Raw genomic sequence first — 20,727 nt, forward strand, 5'->3', positions numbered from 1 at the left:
TTTTGTTTTTTTCTTGAGACAGAGTTTCTCTCTTGTTGCCCCCAAGCTGGAGTGCAATGGTGCGATCTCGGCTCACTGCAACCTCCACCTCCCGAGTTCAAGCGATTCTTCTGCCTCAGCCTCCCGAGTAGCTGGGATTACAGGCGCGTGCCACCACGCCCAGCTAATTTTTTGCAGAAACTGGGTTTCACCATGTTAACCAGGCTGGTCTCGAACTCCTGACCTCAGGTGATCTGCCCGCCTGGGCCTCCCAAAATGGTGGGATTACAGGCGTGAGCCATTGCACCTGGAGGTTTTTTTTTTTTGTGTGTGAGGCAGAGTCTCGTTCTGTCGCCCAGGCTAGAGTGCAGTGGCACGATCGCAGCTCACTGCAGTCGCTGCCTCCCAAGTTCAAGTGATTCTCCTGCCTCAGCCTCCTGAGTAGCTGGGATTGCAGGTGCCTGCCACCACGCCCGGCTAATTTTATTTTTATTTTTATTTTTATTTATTTTATTTTATTTTTTGAGACAAGAGTCTCACTCTGTCGCCCAGCCTGGAGTGCAGTGGCACGATCTTGGCTCACTGCAAGTTCCACGTCCCGGGTTCACGCTGTTCTTCTGCCTCGGCCTCCCGAGTAGCTGGGACTACAGGCGCTAACCACCACGTCTGACTAATTTTTTTTTGTATTTTTAGTAGAGATGGGGTTTCACTGTGTTAGCCAGGATGGTCTGGATCTCCTGATCTCGTGATCCGCCCGTCTCGGCCTCTGAAAGTGCTGGGATTACAGGCATGAGCCACTGCGCCCAGCCAATTTTTTTTGTATTTTTAGTAGAGATGGGGTTTCAGCGTGTTAGCCAGGTTGGTCTCGAACTCCTGACCTCAAGTGATCTTCCCGCCTCAGCCTCCCAAAGTGCTGGGATTACAGGCGCAAGCCACCACGCTGGGCTTCATAGTTGGTTTTCAATAAATGTTTGTTGGTTGAATTAGATGAGAATCTTTATTAAGCTGAATTTTTGGTGTCTCTCATAGGCATCTAAAATATGTCACAGTTATGAGAAGGCGAAACATTTCATTCTCAACATCTTTTCTATATATAGTCATCATTGGTGTCCTCTGGGGATTGGCTCCAGGATAACTCCGTACCCCCACCCCATACCAAAATCTGAGGATGCTTAAGTTTCTTAAGTAAAATGGCATAGTGTTTGCATATAACCTATGCACATTCTGTTATATAGTTTAAATCAACTCTAGATTACTTAATAATACCTAATGCAATGCGTGTTCTGTAAATAGTTGTTATACTGTATTTAGGGAATAATGACCAAAAAGAAAGCCGGTACATGTTTAGTACATACGCAACTATCTTAGACCTAACTAGGTACATAGTACATGTCAGCAACAATATAACATTTTCTGTATTTTTTTTCTCCCCTGAAATGAATATTTTCAATTCCTGGTTGATTGAATCTGCAGATTAAACCTGCAGATATGGAGGGCCAACTGTACATGTGTTTTCTAATATTTTAAAAACAACATTCTGTAAACTTCCTTAGTTTTTTTAAAAAGGAAAGAATAGACAGAGTATTGGTAGAAACTTTAGATCATATAGGAAAAATTTTAGAATTGCTCTTTAATAGATAATGTCTAAGAAAAGGAATCCTGGAACCATTTCTAGAAGATTGTTTTATTTCTTGATATTTTCCTTTAATAAAATTAGTTCATTTTCATCCAGATAGGCCAGCTATTTCAAAAAAGATGAAATGTTTAAGACACTTAAAAAGGTGTACTCATTACCTACTGTCCAAACGGGGACATTGCTACTATAGTTGAATCCTTATGGAAGACATTCTCTGTCTTCTACCCTATCATTCCTTTTCTTTTCTGTATACTTTTACTATATATGCATTATATCCATAAGTATGCCTTGCACTTAAACTTTTTTTTTTTTTTTTGAGACAGAATCTCGCTCTGTCTCCCAGGCTGGAGTGCAGTGCTGCACTCTCGGCTCACTGCAAACTCCGCTTCCTGGGTTTGCGCCCACCACCACGCCTGGCTAATTTTTTGTATTTTTTCATAGAGATGGGGTTTCACCGTGTTAGCCAGGATGGTCTCGATCTGCTGACCTCATGATCCGCCTGCCTCGGCCTCCCAAAGTGCTGAGCGTGAGCCACCGCGCCCGGCCTAAACTTTATTCATTTTATATACACTGTGTTTACTTCTAATTTGCTTTTTTTGCTCAAGGTTTTGAAGACTTAATCTTTGTTGATTGTTTTTACAGGTTTATATACAGGTTTATAGATTATTGGTTTACTCTTACCTCCTCCCCACCAAGTTTTACCTCAGAGACATTTGAGCTTCAAAGATGTGTCAGGCATTGTGCTACCCACTGAGGTTACATAGGTAAACTTTTCTGAAAAATCAGTCAAATGGAAAGGTTCTTAATCACTTAGGGGAATATCTGTTAACTGTATTATCTACAGAGAATTCCAGAACCAGGGCAAGATGCTCTATAAAAATATCCCCCTTAAGCTGGGCATGGTGGCTCATGCTTGTAATGCCAGCACTTTGGGAGGCTGAGGCTGGAGGATTGTTTGTGACCAGGAGTTTGAGACCAACCTGGCCAACAAAGTGAGACCTCGTCTCTTAAAAAAAAAAAAAAAAAAAAAAAAGAAGAAGAAATAAAAATATTCCCTTTAACAGAAAGCTGGTTTATTTGATGTTTCCTTCTCTTTTTAAAATTTTTGTGGGTATATAGTAGGTGTATATATTTGTAGGTTACATGAGATATTTTGATACAAGCATGCAGTGTATAATAATCACATCAGGGGGGTAAATGGGGTATCCATCACCATAAACATTTGTATCGGGGAACCTGCCCCGATAGTCACGTAGGTTCTTTTCTATTTTCCCTAAGCATCAGCCAGTTTGAGAAATGAAGGGACAGAGTACAAAAGAGAGAAATTTTAAAGTTGGGCGTCCGGGGGAGACATCACATGTCGGTGGGTACCGTGATGCCCCACAAGCTGCAAAACCGGCAAGTTTTTATTAGGGACTTTCAAAAGGGGAGGGAGTGTACAAATAGGGTGTGGGTCACAAAGATCACGTACTTCACAAGGTAATAGAATATCACAAGGGAAATGGAGGCAGGGCGAGATCACAGGACCACAGGACCAGAGCAAAATTAAAATTGCTAATGAAGTTTCGGGCACCATTGTCATTGATAACATCTTATCAGGAGACAGGGTTTTGAGAGCAACCGGTCTGACCAAAATTTATTAGGTGGGAATTTCCTCTTCCTAATAAGCCTGGGAGCACTATGGGAGACTGGGGTTTATTTCACCCCTACAGTTTCGACCATAGAAGACGGCCATACCCAAGGGGGCCGTCTATAGACCCACCCCCAGGCGTGTATTCTCTTTCCCAGGGATGTTCCTTGCTGAGAAAAAGAATTCAGCGATATTTCTCCCATTTGCTTTTGAAAGAAGAGAAATATGGCTCTGTTCCGCCCGGCTCACCAGTGGTCAGAGTTTAAGGTTATCTCTCTTATTCCCTGAACAATTGCTGTTATCCTGTTCTTTTTCCAAGGTGCCCAGATTTCATATTGTTCAAACACACATGCTCTACAGTTTGTGCAGTTAACACAATTATCACAGGGTCCTGAGGTGACATACCTCCTCCTCAGCTGACAGGATTAAGAGATTAAAGACAGGCCTAGGAAATCACAAGGTATTGATTGGGGAAGTGATAAGTGTCCATGAAATCTTCACAATTTGTGTTTAGAGACTGCAGTAAAGACAGGCATAGGAAATTATAAAAGTATTAATTTGGAGAACTAATAAATGTCCATGAAATCTTCACAATCCACATTCTTCTGCCGTGGTTTCAGCCGGTCCCTCAGTTTGGGGTCCCTGACTTCCTGCAACACATTTGTCCTTTATGTTGCAAAAAATTAGATTCTTTTAGTTTTTTTTAAATGTACAATTAAATTGGTTTTTACTATAGTCACCCTATTGTGCTAGCAAATACTAGGTCTTATTCATTCTTTCTATTTTTTTTGTACCCATGGGTGATTACCTTTTTTTTTTTTTTTTTTTTTTTTTGAGATGGAGTCTTGCTCTGTCACCCAGGCTGGAGTGCAGTGGCGTGATCTTGAGTCACCACAGCTTCCGCCTCCTGGGTTCAAGCAATTCTCCTGCCTCAGCCTCCTGAGTAGCTGGGATTACAGGCGCACGCCACCATGCCCGGCTATTTTTTGTATTTTTAGTAGAGACGGGGTTTCATCATGTTGGCCAGGCTGGTCTCGAACTCCTGACCTCAAGTGATCCTTCCGCCTCGGCCTCCCAAAGTGGTAGGGTTACTGGTGTAAGCCACCATGCCCAGTCTGATGATTACTTTTTAATGGTGCCCATATTTTGATTTAGAAATTCAAAACTCTATTTGGAATGAGAATAATAATTTATAATTTCTTTTTAAAATAATACTTATGGGTCGATCATGGTGGCTCACGCCTGTAATCCCAGCACTTTGGGAGTCTGAAGTAGGCGGATCACGAGATCAAGAGATTGAGACCATCCTGGCCAACATGGTGAAACCCTGTCTCTACAAAAAATACAAAAATTAGCTGGGTGTGGTGGTGCGTGCCTGTAGTCCCAGCTACTCGGGAGGCTGAGGCAGGAGAATCACTTGAACCCAGGAGGTGGAGGTTGCAGTGAGCTGAGATCGCACCACTGCACTCCAGCCTGGCGACAGAGTGGTCTCAAAATAATAATAATAATATTAATAATAATAATTATGGAGCAGTAAATTAGCTACTAATGCTAGATATTCTCTTTTGGTAAAAATCTGATTTACTTTTTGGTGTCTGGAGTTTTTTTTTCATTGTAACTTTTTGAGAGATATTTAACCATCATAAAAAAGTGATAGACTTGTCTCCCCAATTAAGTAATACATTAAAGGTTTATGGGAGCTGTATTTGAGGAATCTGTGATTGGAAAAAACGTAATTTATAGTTCAATTAAATAAAATCTTAATATTCATTTAAAAAACATTAAACAGCCAGGCGCAGTGGGTCAGGACTATAATCCTAAGAATAGGGTGGCTAAGGTGAGAGGCTGAGGTGGGATGATTGCTTACACCCAGGAGTTTGAGGCTGTAGTGAGCTATGATTGTGCCACTGCACACAAGCATGGGCTGCAGAGTGAGACCCTGTCTGTAAAAAAGAAAAGTTGAATAAAATTTATTTCCTTATTTCACTGATAATTACATTGCAAAAGTTTTTTCTTCCCCTCTAGTGTGAGCTTTGGGTCTTTATTAAGAATTGAAGTTAATCATAATAGTATTTTGTATGTGCTTTAACCGTGAATTTATTTTTATAGGATTTCTATAATTGGCCTGATGAATCCTTTGATGAAATGGACAGTACACTAGCTGTTCAACAGGTAATAAAAATAGTTTCTTTTCACCCTGTGTCTTTTGGAGTACGATGTGTAAGTGCCCATTGGGTGGCCTTTGTCTGTTGGTCACTGTGCAGCAGTCTGCTTCCCAATAAAGCGTGCTCTTTCACAAAACAAAACAAAATAGTTCCTTTTACAACTCCAATAACCTAAGCATTTTACCTCTGACATAGTTAAGTATTCTTATATCTTTTCGCATAGAGAAGATTCCACTGAATTAATGGAATGCCTATTTAAAAGTTTAGTCAACCCTCATTTTGTTTTAAGATGGCATATTAAGCTGGGCACTGTGGCTGCCAGCACTTTGGGAGGCCAATCACTTGAGGCCAGGAGTTCAAGACCAGCCTGAGCGACATAACAAGACCCTGTTTCTACGAAAAGATAAATTAGCCAGGCATGGTGGCACACACCTGTAGTCCCAGTAGCTAGGGAGTCTGAGGTGGGGAGATCACTTGATCCTACTTCAAGGGTCTAATGAGCTATGATTGTGCCACTGTACTTCAACCTGGGTGACAGAGTGAGATCTTGTATCTTAAAAAAATAAAAATAGCCCAGGTGTGGTGGCTCACAGCTGTAATCCCAGCATTTTGGGAAGCCGAGGCAGGTGGATCACTAGGTCAGGATATCAAGACCATCCTGGCCAACATGGTGAAACCCTGTCTCTACTAAAAACATAAAAAATTAGCCAGACATGGTGGCATGTGCCTGTAGTCCCAGCTACTCGGGAGGGCTAAGGCAGGAGAATCGTTTAAACCCAAGAGGCGGAGGTTGCAGTGAGCCAAGATCATGCCACTGCACTCCAGCCTGGCCAAAAGCAAGACTCTGTCTCAAAAAAAAAAAAAAAAACAAAAACAAAAACAAAAATACAATTTCATTAAGGGGCTAATAAAAAGATAATATAAATTGGAGCGTACTAGTATATTGGATTAGGCATTGGTTAAATTTTTTTTGTTTTGAATTTTTAGTAGAGACAGGGTTTTGCGATGCTGCCCACCTTGAACTCCTGGGCTCAAGCAGTCCACCCACCATGGCCTCCCAAAGTGCTGGGATTGCAAGTATGAGTCACTGCACCTGTCTTTTTTTTTTTTAGACGGGGTCTCACCCTGTTGCCCAGGCTGGAGTGCAGTGGCTCAAGCATGGCAAAATGTAGCCTCAACTTCCTGGGCTCAGGTGATTGTTCTACCTCAGCCTCCCAAGTAGCTGGGACTATAGGCGCACACTGCCACATCTGGCTGATTTTTTGTAGAGATGGGGTTTCACCATGTTGCCCTGGCTGATGATAACATTTTTAAAGGGAAAATATACCATAAATCGAGGCTGTTTGGCTTCATTTTGATAGCCAGATAATAAAAGTAGATAGCTGGCCGGGTGCGGTGGCTCACGCCTGTAATCCCAGCACATTGGGAGGCCAAGGCGAGCGGATCACCAGGTCAGGAGATCGAGACCATCCTGGCTAACATGGTGAAACCCCATCTCTTACTAAAAATATAAAAAAATTAGCCGGGCGTGGTGGTGGGTGCCTGTAGTCCCAGCTACTCGGGGGCTGAGGCAGGAGAATGATGTGAACCTGGGAGGCAGTGAGCCTGCAGTGAGCCGAGATCGTGCCACTGCACTCCAGCTTGGGGGACAGAGCAAGACTCCATCTCAAAAAAAAAAAAAAGTAGACAGCTATTCGGATTTGTTATGTTATTTGAAGATCTTAGAAAATAAAAGAGACATATAGTTGAATTATTTGAGCATTAAAAACCACCCATCTGGGTGTGGGGGCTCACACCTGTAATCTTAGTACTTTGGGAGGCCGAGGAGGGAGGATCACTTTGAGGTTGGGAGTTTGAAACCAGCCTGGACAATATAGTGAGACCCTGTCTCTGTAAAAAATAAAAAGGTTGGGCTAGGTGGCGTGCACCTGTAGTCCTAGCTACTTAGGAGGCTGAGGTGGGAGGAAAGGGTTTATGGTGAGCTGTGATTGCACCACTGCACTCCAGGCTGGTGACAGAGACCCTATCTCAAAAAAAAAAAAAAAAAAGAAAAAGTGCTGTTCAATCAGCAAATATTTATTGGCTTCTCACGATATAGCTAGCAATGAGTTAGGCCTTGTGGAAGATAAAGGAATATAAACCTAGATCTAGCTCTATGCCTAGAAATTGGTTAAATTTTGAAGAAAAATGTACAGATGGTTATCTCTTTAAAAATAGGGGGAAGTGTCCTGTTTGTTGAATTTGTTCATTTATTCTCACAGGTTTTTTGGATGTGAAATCATTAGGGTTTTCTACATACGAGACCCATGTCATATAATTTTACTTCTCCAATCTAGATCTGTTTTCTTTCTTTTTCTTGCCTAATTGCTCTGGCTAGACCTTCCAGTACTACTTTGAATAAAAGTGGTGAAAAAGGGCATCTTTGTCTTCTTCCTGATCTTAGAGGAGAGCTTTTAGTTTTTCACTGTTGAGTATGATGTTCACTATGGATTTTTCATATATGGTCTTTATTATATTGAAGTTGTTTCCTTTATTCGTAGGTCATTCAGTGCTTTTTAGATCATAAAATGGTGTTAAATTTTGTCAAATGCTTTTTCTGCACCTATTGAGATGATCATGTGTTTCTTTTTCTTACTTTTTTTATTTTTTTATTTTTTTGAGACAGTCTCGCTCTGTCACCAGGCTGGAGTGCAGTGGCGTGACCTCAACTCACTGCAGCCTCTGCCACCTGGGTTCAAGCGATTGTCCTGCCTCAGCCTCCTGAATAGCTGGGATTACAGGCGCCCGCCCCTGCGCCTGGTTAATTTTTGTAGTTTTAGTTAGAGACAGGATTTCACCATCTTGGCCAGGCCGGTCTTGAACTCCAGACCTCGTGATCTACCTGCCTTGGCTTCCCAAAGTGCTGGGATTACAGGTGTGAGCCGTCACGCCCAGCATTAATTTTTCTTTAAATGTTTGGTATTTTCTTTAAATGTTTACTAGTGAAGTTGTTAGGCCCAGGGTTTTCTTTGGTTGCTCAACATTGGGAATATAATTAATGCCACTGAATTGTACACTTAAAAATGGTTTAAATGCCTTTCCTTTCTTTATTGAATGGTCTCAGCAGCCTTGTCGAAATCTTTTGGCCATGTATGTGACACGTTATTTCTGGGTTCTTTCTTTATTTCTGTTTGTCTGTATGTCTATCCTTATGCCAGTATCACACAGTGTTTGATGACTGTAGCTTTGTAGTAAGTTTTGAACTCAAGAAGTGTGAATCCTCCAACTTTGTTCCTTATTTTATTTTTCTTAATAGAGACAGAATTTTGCAATGTTGCCCAGGTTGGTTTTGAACTCTTGGCTCAGGTGATCCTCTTGCCTCGGCTGGGATTACAGGCATGAGCCACCATGCTCTGACCAAATTTGTTCTTTATTTTCAAGATTTTTTTTGTTTATTCAGAAACCCTTGCAATTCCATATAAATTTGAGGATCACCTTTTCCGTATCTGCAAAAAAAAGGGGGGCGTCGATTGGAATTTAGATAGAGATTGCCTCGTATCTCTAGATTGCTTTAGGTAGCATTGACATCTTAACGATATTAAGCCTTCTTACTCATGCACACGAGATGTCTTTCCATTTATTTAGGTCTTCTTTAATTACTTGCAGCAATGTTTTGTAGTTTTCCGTCTGCAAAAAATTTTATCTCCTTATTTAAATCTATTTCTAGGTATTTAAAAGTTTCTAGGTGCTATTGTAAGTGGAATTGCTTTCTTCCTTTTTAGATTCTTACAGGTATATAGAAACAAAACTGATTTTTATGTGTTCATCTTGTATTCTACAACTTTGCTGAATCATTTTTCACTTAGAGTAACGTTCTTGTGGATTCTTTGGGATTTCCTATATATAGGATCATGTCATTTGTGGATAGAGATAGTTTTACCACTTCCTTTCCAAATGAGATGCGTTTTATTTCTTTATCTTGTCTAGTTGCTCTGGCTAGAACTTTTAGTACAGTGTTGAATAGCGGTGGTGAAAGTGAGCATCCTTGTCTCATTTGGGTTGGAAAGGCTTTTAGTTTTTCACCCTTGAGTCTGAGGTTAGCTGTGAGCTTTTCATGAATGCCCTTAATCATGTTGGGGAAATTTCCTTTTAAACCTAGTTTTCTGAGTGGTTTTATCACGAAAATATGTTGGATTTTGTCAGATATCTTTTCTGCATTGGTATGATTGTGTGCTTTTTTCCGTTTGTATATTAATGTAGTATATTGCATTGTTGTTGTTTTTTTAAAAATGTTGAACCATCTTTGCATTCCTGATAACTTTCTTTTGATTTATATTTGTATGGTATTTCTTTTTTCATGATTTGACATACCTATATAATTACGTTTGAAATAAGTTTCTTGTAGACAGCATATGGTTGAGTCATATTTCTTAGTTCATTTTGACAGACTTTCTCTTTTAATTGGTATGTTCAGACCATTTAACATTGATGTGCTGAATGTTTACTATTATTTAGATTTAGACCTACCGTTTTATTACTTTTTAATTTGTTCCTTCTGGGCTTTTCATTTGTTCCTGTTTCCCCTTTTCTGTCTTTTTAAGGGTGAGTTGAACATTTTTAGTATTCTGTTTTAATTCTAATTTTGACATATTTATATACTTGATTACTAAATGGGTACCTGCGCAGTTTACTGAAAATCAGTATTCTACCACTTTACTTGAAATGTAGAAACTTTACTATCATATGCACCCCTTTTGCTCCCCCTTTATACTATAGTTGCTGTATATTACATCAATATACATTGAAAACCCCATCGTTAATCATTTTACTTTCACTTGTCAAACATATTTTAAAGAAGTCATGAGAAGAATGGTCTATTATATTTATACCCAGATATTTACAATGTCTCCTGCTCCCTGCTCCTGATGTTCCCAATTTTCTTTTTCTTTTTCTTTTTCTTTTTTTTTTTTTTTTTGAGACGGAGTCTCACACTGTCTCCCAGGCTGGAGTGCAGTGGCACAATCTCTGCTCACTGCAAGCTCCACCTCCTGGGTTCAGGCCATTCTCCTGCCTCAGCCTCCCGAGTAGCTGGGACTACAGGCGCCCGCCATCACCCCCGGCTAATTTTTTTGTATTTTTAGTAGAGAACGGGGTTTCACTGTGTTAGCCAGGATGGTCTCAATCTCCTGACCTCGTGATCTGCCCGCCTCGGCTTCCCAAAGTGCTGGGATTACAGGCGTGAGCCACCGCGCCTGGCCTCCCAATTTTCTTTGTATTATTTTCTGTCTGAAGAACTTCCTTTAGTAATTTTTTTTTTTTTTTAGACAGAGTCTCGCTCTGTCACTCAGACTGGAGTGCAGTGGCGCGATCTCGGCTCACTGAGTTTAAGCAATTCTCCTGCCTCAGCCTCATGAGTTCAAGCAGTTCTCCTGCCTCAGCCTCTCGAGTAGCTGGGATTACAGGCATGCGCCACCACCCCCAGCTAATTTTTGTGTTTTTAGTACAGACAGGGTTTCACCATGTTGGTCAAGCTGGTCTTGAACTCTTGACTTGCCTGCCTCAGCCTCACAGAGTACTGGGATTACAGACATGAGCCACCGCGGCCAGCTGATCTTCATTTCTAAATAATATTTTTGTTAGATATAGAATTCTGGCTTGACAACTCTTTCAGCACATTTTTATTTTTATTTTATTTATTTATTTATTTTTTTGAGATAGAGTCTCGCTCTGTCACCCAGACTGGAGTACGGTGGCGTGATCTTGGCTCACTGCAACCTCCACCTCCTGGGTTCAATCGATTCTCCTGCCTCAGCCTCCCCAGTAGCTGGGACTACAGGTGCATGCCGCCACAGCCGCCTCATTTTTCTATTTTTAGTAGAGACTGGGTTTTGCCATATTGACCAGGCTGGTCTTGAACTCCTGACCTCAAGTGATCCATCCACCTCAGCCTCCCAAAGTTCTGGGATTATAGGTGTGAGCCACTGTGCCCGGCCTTATTTTTATTTATTTATTTTGAGATGGAGTTTTGCTCTGTCGCCCAGGCTGGAGTGCAGTGGTGCAATCTCGTCTCACTCCAACCTCTGCCTCCAGATTCAAGCCATTCTCCTGCCTCAGCCTCCCGAGTAGCTGGGACTACAGGCGCACACCACCGTGCCCAGCTAATTTCTGTATATTTAGTACAGACGGGGTTTCACCATGTTGGCCGGAATGGTCTCGATCTCTTGACCTTGTGATCTGCCCGCCTCAGCCTCCCAAATTGCTGGGATTACAGGCGTGAGCCACCCCACCTGGCCTCCTGGCCTTATTTTCATTTTTATTCATTTATTTTTGAAATGGAGTCTCACTCTGTCTCCCAGGCTGGAGTGCAGTGGCGCGATCTCGCCTCACTGCAATCCCCACCCCCTGGGTTCAAGCGATTCTCCTCCGTCAGCCTCCCTAGTAGCTGGGATAACAGGCGCCTGCCACCGTGTCTGGCTAATTTTTGTATTTTTAGTAGAGACGGGGTTTCACCTTCTTGGCCAGGCTGGTCTTGAACTCCTGACCTTGTGATCCACCCTCCTCGGCCTCCCAAAGTGCTAGGATTACAGGTGTGAGCCACCATGCCTGGACTCTATTTTTATTTTTTTTTGAGACAGGGTCTCACTCTGTTGCCAGGCTGGAGTGCAGTGGTACAATCATAGCTTACTGCAGCCTTAAACTCCTGGACTTAAGAGATTTTCTCACCTCACCTTTCTGAGTAGCTATGACTACAGGAGCACACCACCCCTGGCTGACTTTTTTTTTTTTTGTAGAAATGTGGTCTCGCTATGTTGCCTAGGCTGGTCTTGAACTCTTGGCCTCAAGCAGTCCTCCTGCCTCAGCCTGCTAAGTTTTTCAGCACTTTAAAAATGTTTTGCCATTTTGCTTCCATGGTTTCTGATGAGAAAGAATCTGTCATTCAAATTCTCCTGGCTTCTTTAGTGGTGTTTTTTTCTTTGTTTTTTTTGAGACAGGGTCTCACTCTGTCATTCCAGGCTGGTGTACAGTGGACTTCTTAGGCTCAAGCAATCCTTCCAACTCAGCCTCTCAAGTAGCTGGGACTACAGGCATGCACCACCATGCCTGACTAATTTTTATGTTTTGTAGAGATGGGCTCTTATTGTGTTGCCCAAGGTCTCTAACTCCTGAGCTTGAGTGATCCTCCTGCCTTGGTCTTCCAAAGTGCTGGGATACAGACCTGAGCTACCACACCTGGACTTATCTTTGGGTTTTAGCCATTTGATTATGATGTATCTGGATGTAGATTTCTTTGGGTTTATCTTGTTTGATGTTCACTCAGCTTTTTTTAAATTGTGGCAATATATATGAGACATAAAATTTATCATTTTTGCTATTTTATTTTTATTTTTATTTTTATTTTTTTTTTTTGAGGCAGAGTCTCGCTCTTTCTCCCAGGCTGGAGTGCAGTGGCGCGATCTCGGCTCACTGCAAGCTCCGCCTCCCAGGTTCACGCTACTCTCCTGCCTCAGCCTGCCGAGTAGCTGGGACTACAAGCGCCCGCCACTATGCCCGGCTATTTTGTATTTTTAGTAGAGACGGGGTTTCACCGTGTTAGCCAGGATGGTTTCGATCTCCTGACCTCGTGATCCACCCACCTCGGCCTCCCAAAGTGCTGGGATTACAGGCGTGAGCCACTGCGCCCGGCCTCATTTTTGCTATTTTAAAGTGTACAGTTCTGTGGCATGAAGTACATTCCCATTGTGCAACCATCACCACCGTGTCCAGAACTTTTTCATCTTCCCCAACTGAAATTCTATACATATTAAATAATAACTCCCTATTCCTCTTTTTTTTCTCAGCCTACTCAGCTTCTTGAATTTGCAAGCTTATATCTTTTTACAAACTTGGAAACTTTTCAGCATTATTTCTTCAAGTACCTTTTTTTTGAGACGGAGTCTTGCTCTGTCGCCCAGGCTGGAGTGCAGTGGCATGATCTTGGCTCACTGCAACCTCTGCTTCCCGGGTTCAAGTGATTCTACTGCCTCAGCCTCCATGTGCCACCATGCCCGGCTAATTTTTGTGTTTTTATTAGAGATGGGGTTTTACCCTATTGGCCAGGCTGGTCTCGAACTCCTGACCTCGTGATCCACCTGCCTCGGCCTCCCAAAGTGCTAGGATTATAGGCAGGAGCCACCTCGTCCAGCCTTCTTAGCTGATTTTTTAAAAATGATAGTTGCTTTTATTGCATAAAAGTGTGGAGGACTCATTATAGAAAACAAAATGACTTTTTTTTTGAGATAGAGTCTCACTCCCAGGTTGGAGTGCAGTAGCGTGTGATTGCTGCTCAGAGCAACCTCCACCTCCCAGGTTCAAGTGATTCTCCCGCCTCAGTCTCCCAGTAGCTGAGATTACAGGCGTGTGCTACCATGCCTGGCCAGTTTTTGTATTTTTAGTAGAGATGGTGTGTCACCATGTTGGCCAGGCTGGTCTTGAACTCTTGACCTCAGGTGATCTGCCCGCCTCTGCCTCCCAAAGTGCTGGGATTACAGGAGTGAGCCATTGTGACTGGCCAAAATGGCATTTTTGTTTTATTTCTAAGTTAAGGATTTCTTTTTTGCTTTATATAAATTGGTATCAATAAAAGGATTCTAGATTTCTTCAAGATTGACAGCTTGTAACTCCACTTAATAACAAAATTTAGTAATTATATAAGTAAAGTCAGTTTCTAAATATATGGTTAAATAATTAAAATTGGGGTGGGCCCAGTGGTTCATGCCTGTAATTCCAGTACTTTGGGAGGCTGAGGTGGGAGAATTGCTTGAGCCCAGGAGTTCAAAACTAGCTTAAGGGGTCTTGAATTAGCCTAGGCGGTCTTGAATTAGCCTAGGCAGTCTTGAATTAGCCAGGTGTTGTGGGCGCACGCCTGTAATCCCAGCTACTTGGGAGGCTGAAGCAGGAGAATTGCTTGAACCCAGGAAGCAGAGGTTGCAGTGAGCCGAGATAGCGCCACTGCACTCTAGCCTGGGCGACAGAACGAAACTCTATCTCAAAAAAAAAATAAGTAAATAAAAGTCTCTGTGTTCAGGGACTCACTATATGAAGGAGACACATGAAAGTAAGTGTTAGTAAGTTGTGCTATTAAGTGTGAAATAAATGCTACTAAGAGTTCTAGCCATAGAAGACTGGGTGCGGTGGCTCACGCTGTAATCCCAGCACTTTGGGAAGCTGAGGCAGGTGGATCACTTGAGGTCAGGACTTCAAGACCAGCCTGACCAACATGGTGAAACACCATCTCTACTAAAAATACAGAAATTAGCTGGGCATGGTGGCGCATGTCTATAATCCCGGCTACTTGGAAGGCTGAGACAACAGGATCACTTGAACCCGGAAGGCAGAGGTTGTAGTGAGCTGAGATTGCGCCACTACACTCCAGCCTGGGCGACAGAGTGAGACTCTATCTCAAAAACAAAAAAAAATTTCTATCCATAGAAGGTGTAGTGGGAACAGGAAAGACAAAAATGAATAGACAGATTGCTAATATATACAAATTACAAATGTGGCAGGAAATTGGATGGAGTTCTGTGAGGATTCGAATAATCAGGGAGTGCTTGAGTGTGTTGGGGGAACGAGAGATTTGGACAGAATTGTGATGTGGAATTTGAGGTGGCCTTTGGAGAAGGTATACAATTTAGCTGTATCTCCTCAAGGAGAGAGAGAATCAAAACTTTGAAACATTAGGATGAGATAAAAAAAATCAGGGAGAGTGGTTTCAATAGTAATTAAAGAGTCATTAAAAAGTGTTTGAGGCTGGGTACGGTGGCTCATGCCTGTAATCCCAGCACTTCGGGAGGCCGAGGCGGGTGGATCAGCTGAGGTCAGGAGTTTGAGACCAGCCTTACTAACATGGCGAAACCCTGTCTCTACAAAAAATACAAAAATTAGCCGGGCGTGATGGCAGGTGCTTGTATTCCCAGCTACTCGGGAGGCTGAGGCAGGAGAATCGCTTGAACCCGGCAGGCGGAGGTTGCAGTGAGCCAAGACTGAGCCATTGCACTCCAGCCTGGGCGACAGGAGCAAAACTCCTCAAAAAAAAAAAAAAAAAAAAAAAAGTATTTGATCCCTTTCCCTGTCATCATGGTGTGTGCGTGTGACTCAGTTCTTTGCCATGCCTTCCCACAAGACTTTAAGACTTTTAGAATCAAGTGATTCCTGGCCAAGAAACAAAAGCAAAATCGTCCCATTCCCCAGTGGATTCAGATGAAAACTGAGTAATAAAATCAGGTACAACTCTAAGAGGAGACATTGGAAAAGAACCAAGCTGGGTCTAGAAGGAATTTTACATGAGATGGCACACATACTTAATATTGCATCAAGGTCACTATCATGTCACCATATCAAGCTGAAAATGTCACCATCATCTGGACAGTTGTACATGCTGTATTGGAACAATGGTTTTTCTTTTGGTTTCTATGCTCTGCAGTAGGCTGGTTCAGTACTAAATATGTGAGACCTTTTGTTTGGAAAAAAAAGTTTTTGAGTAAGCAAGTGATATTCAAGAAAGATTGTCTGAAGTAGGCAAAATTGATTGGCTCAAGAAGGCCTTATAGTTAGTAAGTTTTTGTAACCACCCTTTTAATCTGTTCTAACGTATTTAGACTTCAGAATATCAAAAAGATTGCATAAAGCATTACAGAGATCTGAAATTTAAATTTTTATGTTATTACATTTTAAAAATTGAAAGTGACCCTCCCTTGCCTTTTTTTTTAAACTTAGTTTTTTCTGTTAGTCATTTAAAACAACTTTTATTGGATCTAATGAACATACCATACAAATCCCTATACAGTTAGAGTGATTATATTCACAGGGTTGCACAGCCATCACTACAGTCTAATTTTAAAGCTTTTTTGTTGTTGTTTTGTTTTTGAGATGGAGTCTCACTGTGTTGCCCAGGCTGGAGTGCAGTGGCACGATCTTGGTTCACTGCAACCTCCGCCTCCCGGGTCCAAGCGATTCTCTTGCCTCAGCCTCCAGAGTAGCTGGGACTACAGGTGTGTGCCACCACGCCTGGCTAATTTTTTTGTATTTTTAGTAGAGATTGGGTTTCACTATATTAGCCAGGATGGTCTCGATTTTCTGACCTTGTGATCTGCCCACCTCGGCCTCCCAAAGTGCTGGGATTACAGGCATGAGCCCCGACGCCCGGCCTTTTAGAACATATTTATCCTTCCTGAAAGGAAACCTCACCCTCATTAGCAGCCATCTTCAGTCTCTTCTGCCTTCCTCTCTGCCCTCAAGCCCTACACCAGTACAAATCTATTTCCTGTCTCAATAGATTTTCTTACTCTAGACACTTCATATAAACCAAATCACAATATGTACCATAGTTATATTTACATTGCCTATGGTGAAATCCTGTATCTACAAAATATGGAAAAGTTAGCCCGGCGTGATGGCGTGTGCCTGTAGTCCCAGCTCCTCAGGAGGCTGAGGTGGGAGGATTGCTTGAGCCCAGGAGGTGGATATTGCAGTGATCTGAGATTGTGCCACTGTACTCCAGCCTGGGTGATGCAGTGAGACCCTGTTTCAAAAAAAAAAAAAAAAAAAAGAAATTATGGTTTGCAATTTTGATCCAAGTTCCAGTCCTGACAAATACAATATCTGCATTTATGTAGTAGATTCTATCCAAATGAAGTTGAATTGAAGGATAAATAAGTAAGGGTAACCTACTTTTTTTCTTAGTTACTGATTATGATTCTATACTTGGTTTCCTATTTAGTGTATAACCCAAGTTGAACCACAAGAGCAGTTATGTATTAACAAATTATATGTACTTAACATAAGATTTACCAGGTGATATAATTTAATTAACCATAAGAACTTCTTTGTTTTTAGTATATTCAACAGAACATAAGAGCAGATTGCTCCAATATTGACAAAATTCTTGAACCACCTGAAGGCCAAGATGAAGGTGTGTGGAAGTATGAACATTTAAGGTAGGACCTTACATCAAAATACTAATAGTACCTCTCACAAAACTAGCTTTCATATTAATGATAATTATGAATTGTAAAATTTACTATGTAACTGCAGACTAAGAAGCCAAATTTTAAAGCTTTGGCATTTTCAGTGTCACAAGGTTCTCAGCTTTCTTCACTGGTTGTTTCCAGGTCAAATTATGCTGCAGAGTCACTCATTTTGAAAGGTGGTTTATTTCAGAGTTGATAATTTGGACCTGCCTCTGCACCTCTCTTCTTTTCTTTTCTTTTTTTTTTTTTTTTTTGAGATGGGGTCTCACTCTCTTGCCCACGTTGGAGTGCAGTGGTGTAATCACTGCTTACTGTGCCTCTACCTCTTAGGCTCAAGTGATCCTCCCACTTCAGCTTCCAGAGTAGCTGGGACTACAGGTGTGTGCCAGCATGCCTCACTAATTTTTTAATTTTTTGTAGAGACAGGATCTGATTGTGTTGCCCAGGCTAGTCTCAAACTCCTGGATTCAAGCAATTTTCCTACCTTGTCCTCCCAAAGTATTGAGCCACCCTTTCTACATTTATTCATTTGGGCCTTATTATCCCCGCCTTTTTTTTGAAACAGGGTCTTGATCTGTTGCCTAGGCTGGAATGCAGTGGTGCAATCTTGGCGCATTGCAGCCTCTGTCTCCCATGCTGAAGCAATCCTCCCACCTCAGCCTCCTGAGTAGCTGGGACTACTAGTGCATGCCTCTAAGCCTGGCTAGTTTTTTGTATTTTTTGTAGAGACAAGGTTTCACCATGTTGCCTAGGCTGGTCTCAAACTCCGGGGCTTAAGCAATCCACCCACCTTGGCCTCCCACAGTGCTGGGATTACCACCATGCCAGCCTGGGTTTTATTCTTATTTCATGATTTTCCTTAATTGTATCTCTTAACCGCTAATATAGTATTTCCGTTTCCCCATTTTTGCATAACTGTGTCATCTTTTGTCTTTTTTTTTTTTTTTTTTTTTTTTGAGACAGAGTCTTGCTCTGTTGCCTAGGCTGGAGTGCAGTGGTGTGATCCCGGCTCACCACAACCTCTGCCTCCCGAGTTCAAGTGATTCTTCTGCCTCAGCCTCCCGAGTAGCTGGGACTACAGGCGCAGCCATGCCCAGCTAATTTTTGTATTTTTAGTAGAGATGGGGTTTCACTATGTTGGCCAGGCTGGTCTCGAACTCCTGACCTCATGATCTGCCCGCCTCAGCCTCCCAAAGTGCTGGGATTACAGGTGTGAGCCACCGTGCCTGACTTGTCTTTTTTTTTTCCTTTGTTTCTGTAGAGATGGGGTCTCACTGTGTTGCCCAAGCTGGTCCTGAAATCCTGGGCTCAAGTGATCCTCCCATCTCAGCCTGCCAAAGTGCTGGGATTATACAGGCATGAGCCACTGCACTTGGCCACTTTATGTTTTTGTAGAGGATTACTTCCAGTTCCTAGTCTAGGCTTGGTATCTGATAAGTTACCTGTAAATTATTGCAAACTTCCAGTCTTCTCTTTGGTAAATAGAGATTAATTGTAATCCTGAAGTAAGGAGTTTTGGTGCTTTTTATAATGCCCTTTGAATGAAAAAATTGATAACTAGTGGATAGGTGGAGATAACATTAAAAGTAGATATATTCTGAAGTTACTAGGTGTTTCTTGAAATTATAAATTTTCCAGTGCAAATGGGAGCTGGGATGAGTTGACAGATTATTAATAAATATAGAGAATGCAGTATGTGTTCATTGGGGCTTATTATTTGTAAGTTGATTTTTAGATAAATAGAGTAGAAATATGACTTTTCCTGAATAAATTAGACCATGTTTCCTGTGTTGTGTGCCTCAACTTGTAGACAAGGCACTTTTTAAAAATATTTACTTTTTGATGCTGCATGCTTCTTTAGAAATGGCTAAGACATTATGTCGTGTCATAACAGTTCAGCAATTTCAGGATGCTAAGACTTCTTTGTATCCTTTGCCAGTTTTTAGACAAATTACTTGACTATTTTCTAACTTTTTAATATATATGAATGCACAATAATTCAAAGTACGAGTCTGTAGATATTTTCCCATTTTTACAACCCAAGACAGAGAGCACTTTAGTGTAGTACATCCTTTGCTTTATTTTTATCAGCCTTGAAAATAACTGCTTTCTTATGTTTTTTTTCTTGAGACAAGAGTCTCGAGTCTCGCTTTGTCACCAGGCTGGAGTGCAGTGGTGTGATCTCGGCTCATTGCAACCTCCGCCACATGGGTTCAAGCGATTCTCCTGCCTCAGCCTCCCAAGTAGCTGGGACTACAGGCACACGCCACCATGCCCAGCTAATTTTTGTATTTTTAGTAGAGATGGGGTTTCACCATGTTGGTCAGGATGGTCTTGATCTCCTGACCTCACGATCTGCCCACCTTGGCCTCCCAAAGTGCTGGGATTACAGGCGTGTGCCACCACACTTGGCCGTTTTTTCCATTACAAGCATAATTCCTAACAAATAGGGGCTGATTTTAGTGTTACAAGGGTTTTTTTTTTTTCAGATCTAAGAAAACATTTATCTCCCTATTTAACTTATTCTATGAAACATTATATAAAACATTACATAAAACTTTACATGAAATATTTCTCACAAGTATTTCATTTGTTCTGGTGCTATTTTTACTTTTGTTATTTTTTTCTACTAGCCACTTTTTGGTCTGGGTTGTATATTAACTATCGTATATATTCTTTTATCTCTTTATTGTATTGTGTACATTTTATTAGTTGACCAGGAAGAGGTTTTTTTTTTTTTTTGCATACATCCTTTATTGATTTGAGGCTGTATACTTGCCATTTTTAGTTAATGCAGTTGATTATATAATGATGTTAATTTAGATTGGGTCATGACTTCAGTCATATCTCCCACTAGCTCATATTGAGTCTTAATGATTAGGAAAAAGTACTCCTTTATGTCCGGATACATGCGTGGTGACTGGAATGTAGGCTGGATTCCAGCTCTGGTTGGTCTCTTCAGCTGCACAACTGTGTACATGTTAGCCCTGTATTAAATTAACTTGAAGTTGTGAGTTTTGCATTATTTGCCACAGATTATACCCACAGCCCTGCTGAATCAACTTAATTTTGCTTTTGGCTATAAAAGGGTTGGGTAAGAAACTTACCACAACCAGTCTTTATTACCACTTGGTGGAAAACAACTAAAAAACACATAACATGCAGTCTACTTGATAGGGGACAGTAGAGGGTGATACGGTGATTTAGAAATAATGTTATTTTTGTAATCTAAGGACAGCATTATTAGGCATCTGGAAAGGAAATGCAGTTACAAACAACTGAAAATTTGACCCTTGCCTTTTTGTTTTCCTCTGTTACAATGTGCAGTAAGTA

At 41.5% G+C, this 20,727-nt stretch overlaps 2 protein-coding genes across 5 annotated transcripts in view; both read left to right on the plus strand.

Annotated features, from left to right (window-relative positions):
- The window catches only part of HSPE1-MOB4 (HSPE1-MOB4 readthrough), a 53,321-nt gene that overhangs the window by 17,891 nt on the left and 14,703 nt on the right, over positions 1-20,727 (plus strand). Inside the window, exons 3-4 of the mRNA NM_001202485.2 lie at positions 5,355-5,417; positions 17,261-17,361. Coding sequence (NP_001189414.1) covers positions 5,355-5,417; positions 17,261-17,361 — 164 coding nt within the window. The remainder of the gene's footprint in view (positions 1-5,354; positions 5,418-17,260; positions 17,362-20,727) is intronic.
- Positions 1-20,727, plus strand: part of MOB4 (MOB family member 4, phocein) — a 38,146-nt gene that overhangs the window by 2,716 nt on the left and 14,703 nt on the right. For 3 of the 4 annotated variants that reach the window (NM_199482.4, NM_015387.5, NM_001204094.1), the window contains exons 2-3: positions 5,355-5,417; positions 17,261-17,361. In NM_199482.4, the coding sequence (NP_955776.1) occupies positions 5,391-5,417; positions 17,261-17,361 (128 nt within the window). In that variant the 5' untranslated portion in view covers positions 5,355-5,390. The remainder of the gene's footprint in view (positions 1-5,354; positions 5,418-17,260; positions 17,362-20,727) is intronic. The other variant, NM_001100819.3, reaches the window with a different exon arrangement.

Source organism: Homo sapiens, chromosome 2, assembly GCF_000001405.40.
Source record: "Homo sapiens chromosome 2, GRCh38.p14 Primary Assembly".
NCBI classification, from domain to species: Eukaryota; Metazoa; Chordata; class Mammalia; order Primates; family Hominidae; genus Homo; species Homo sapiens.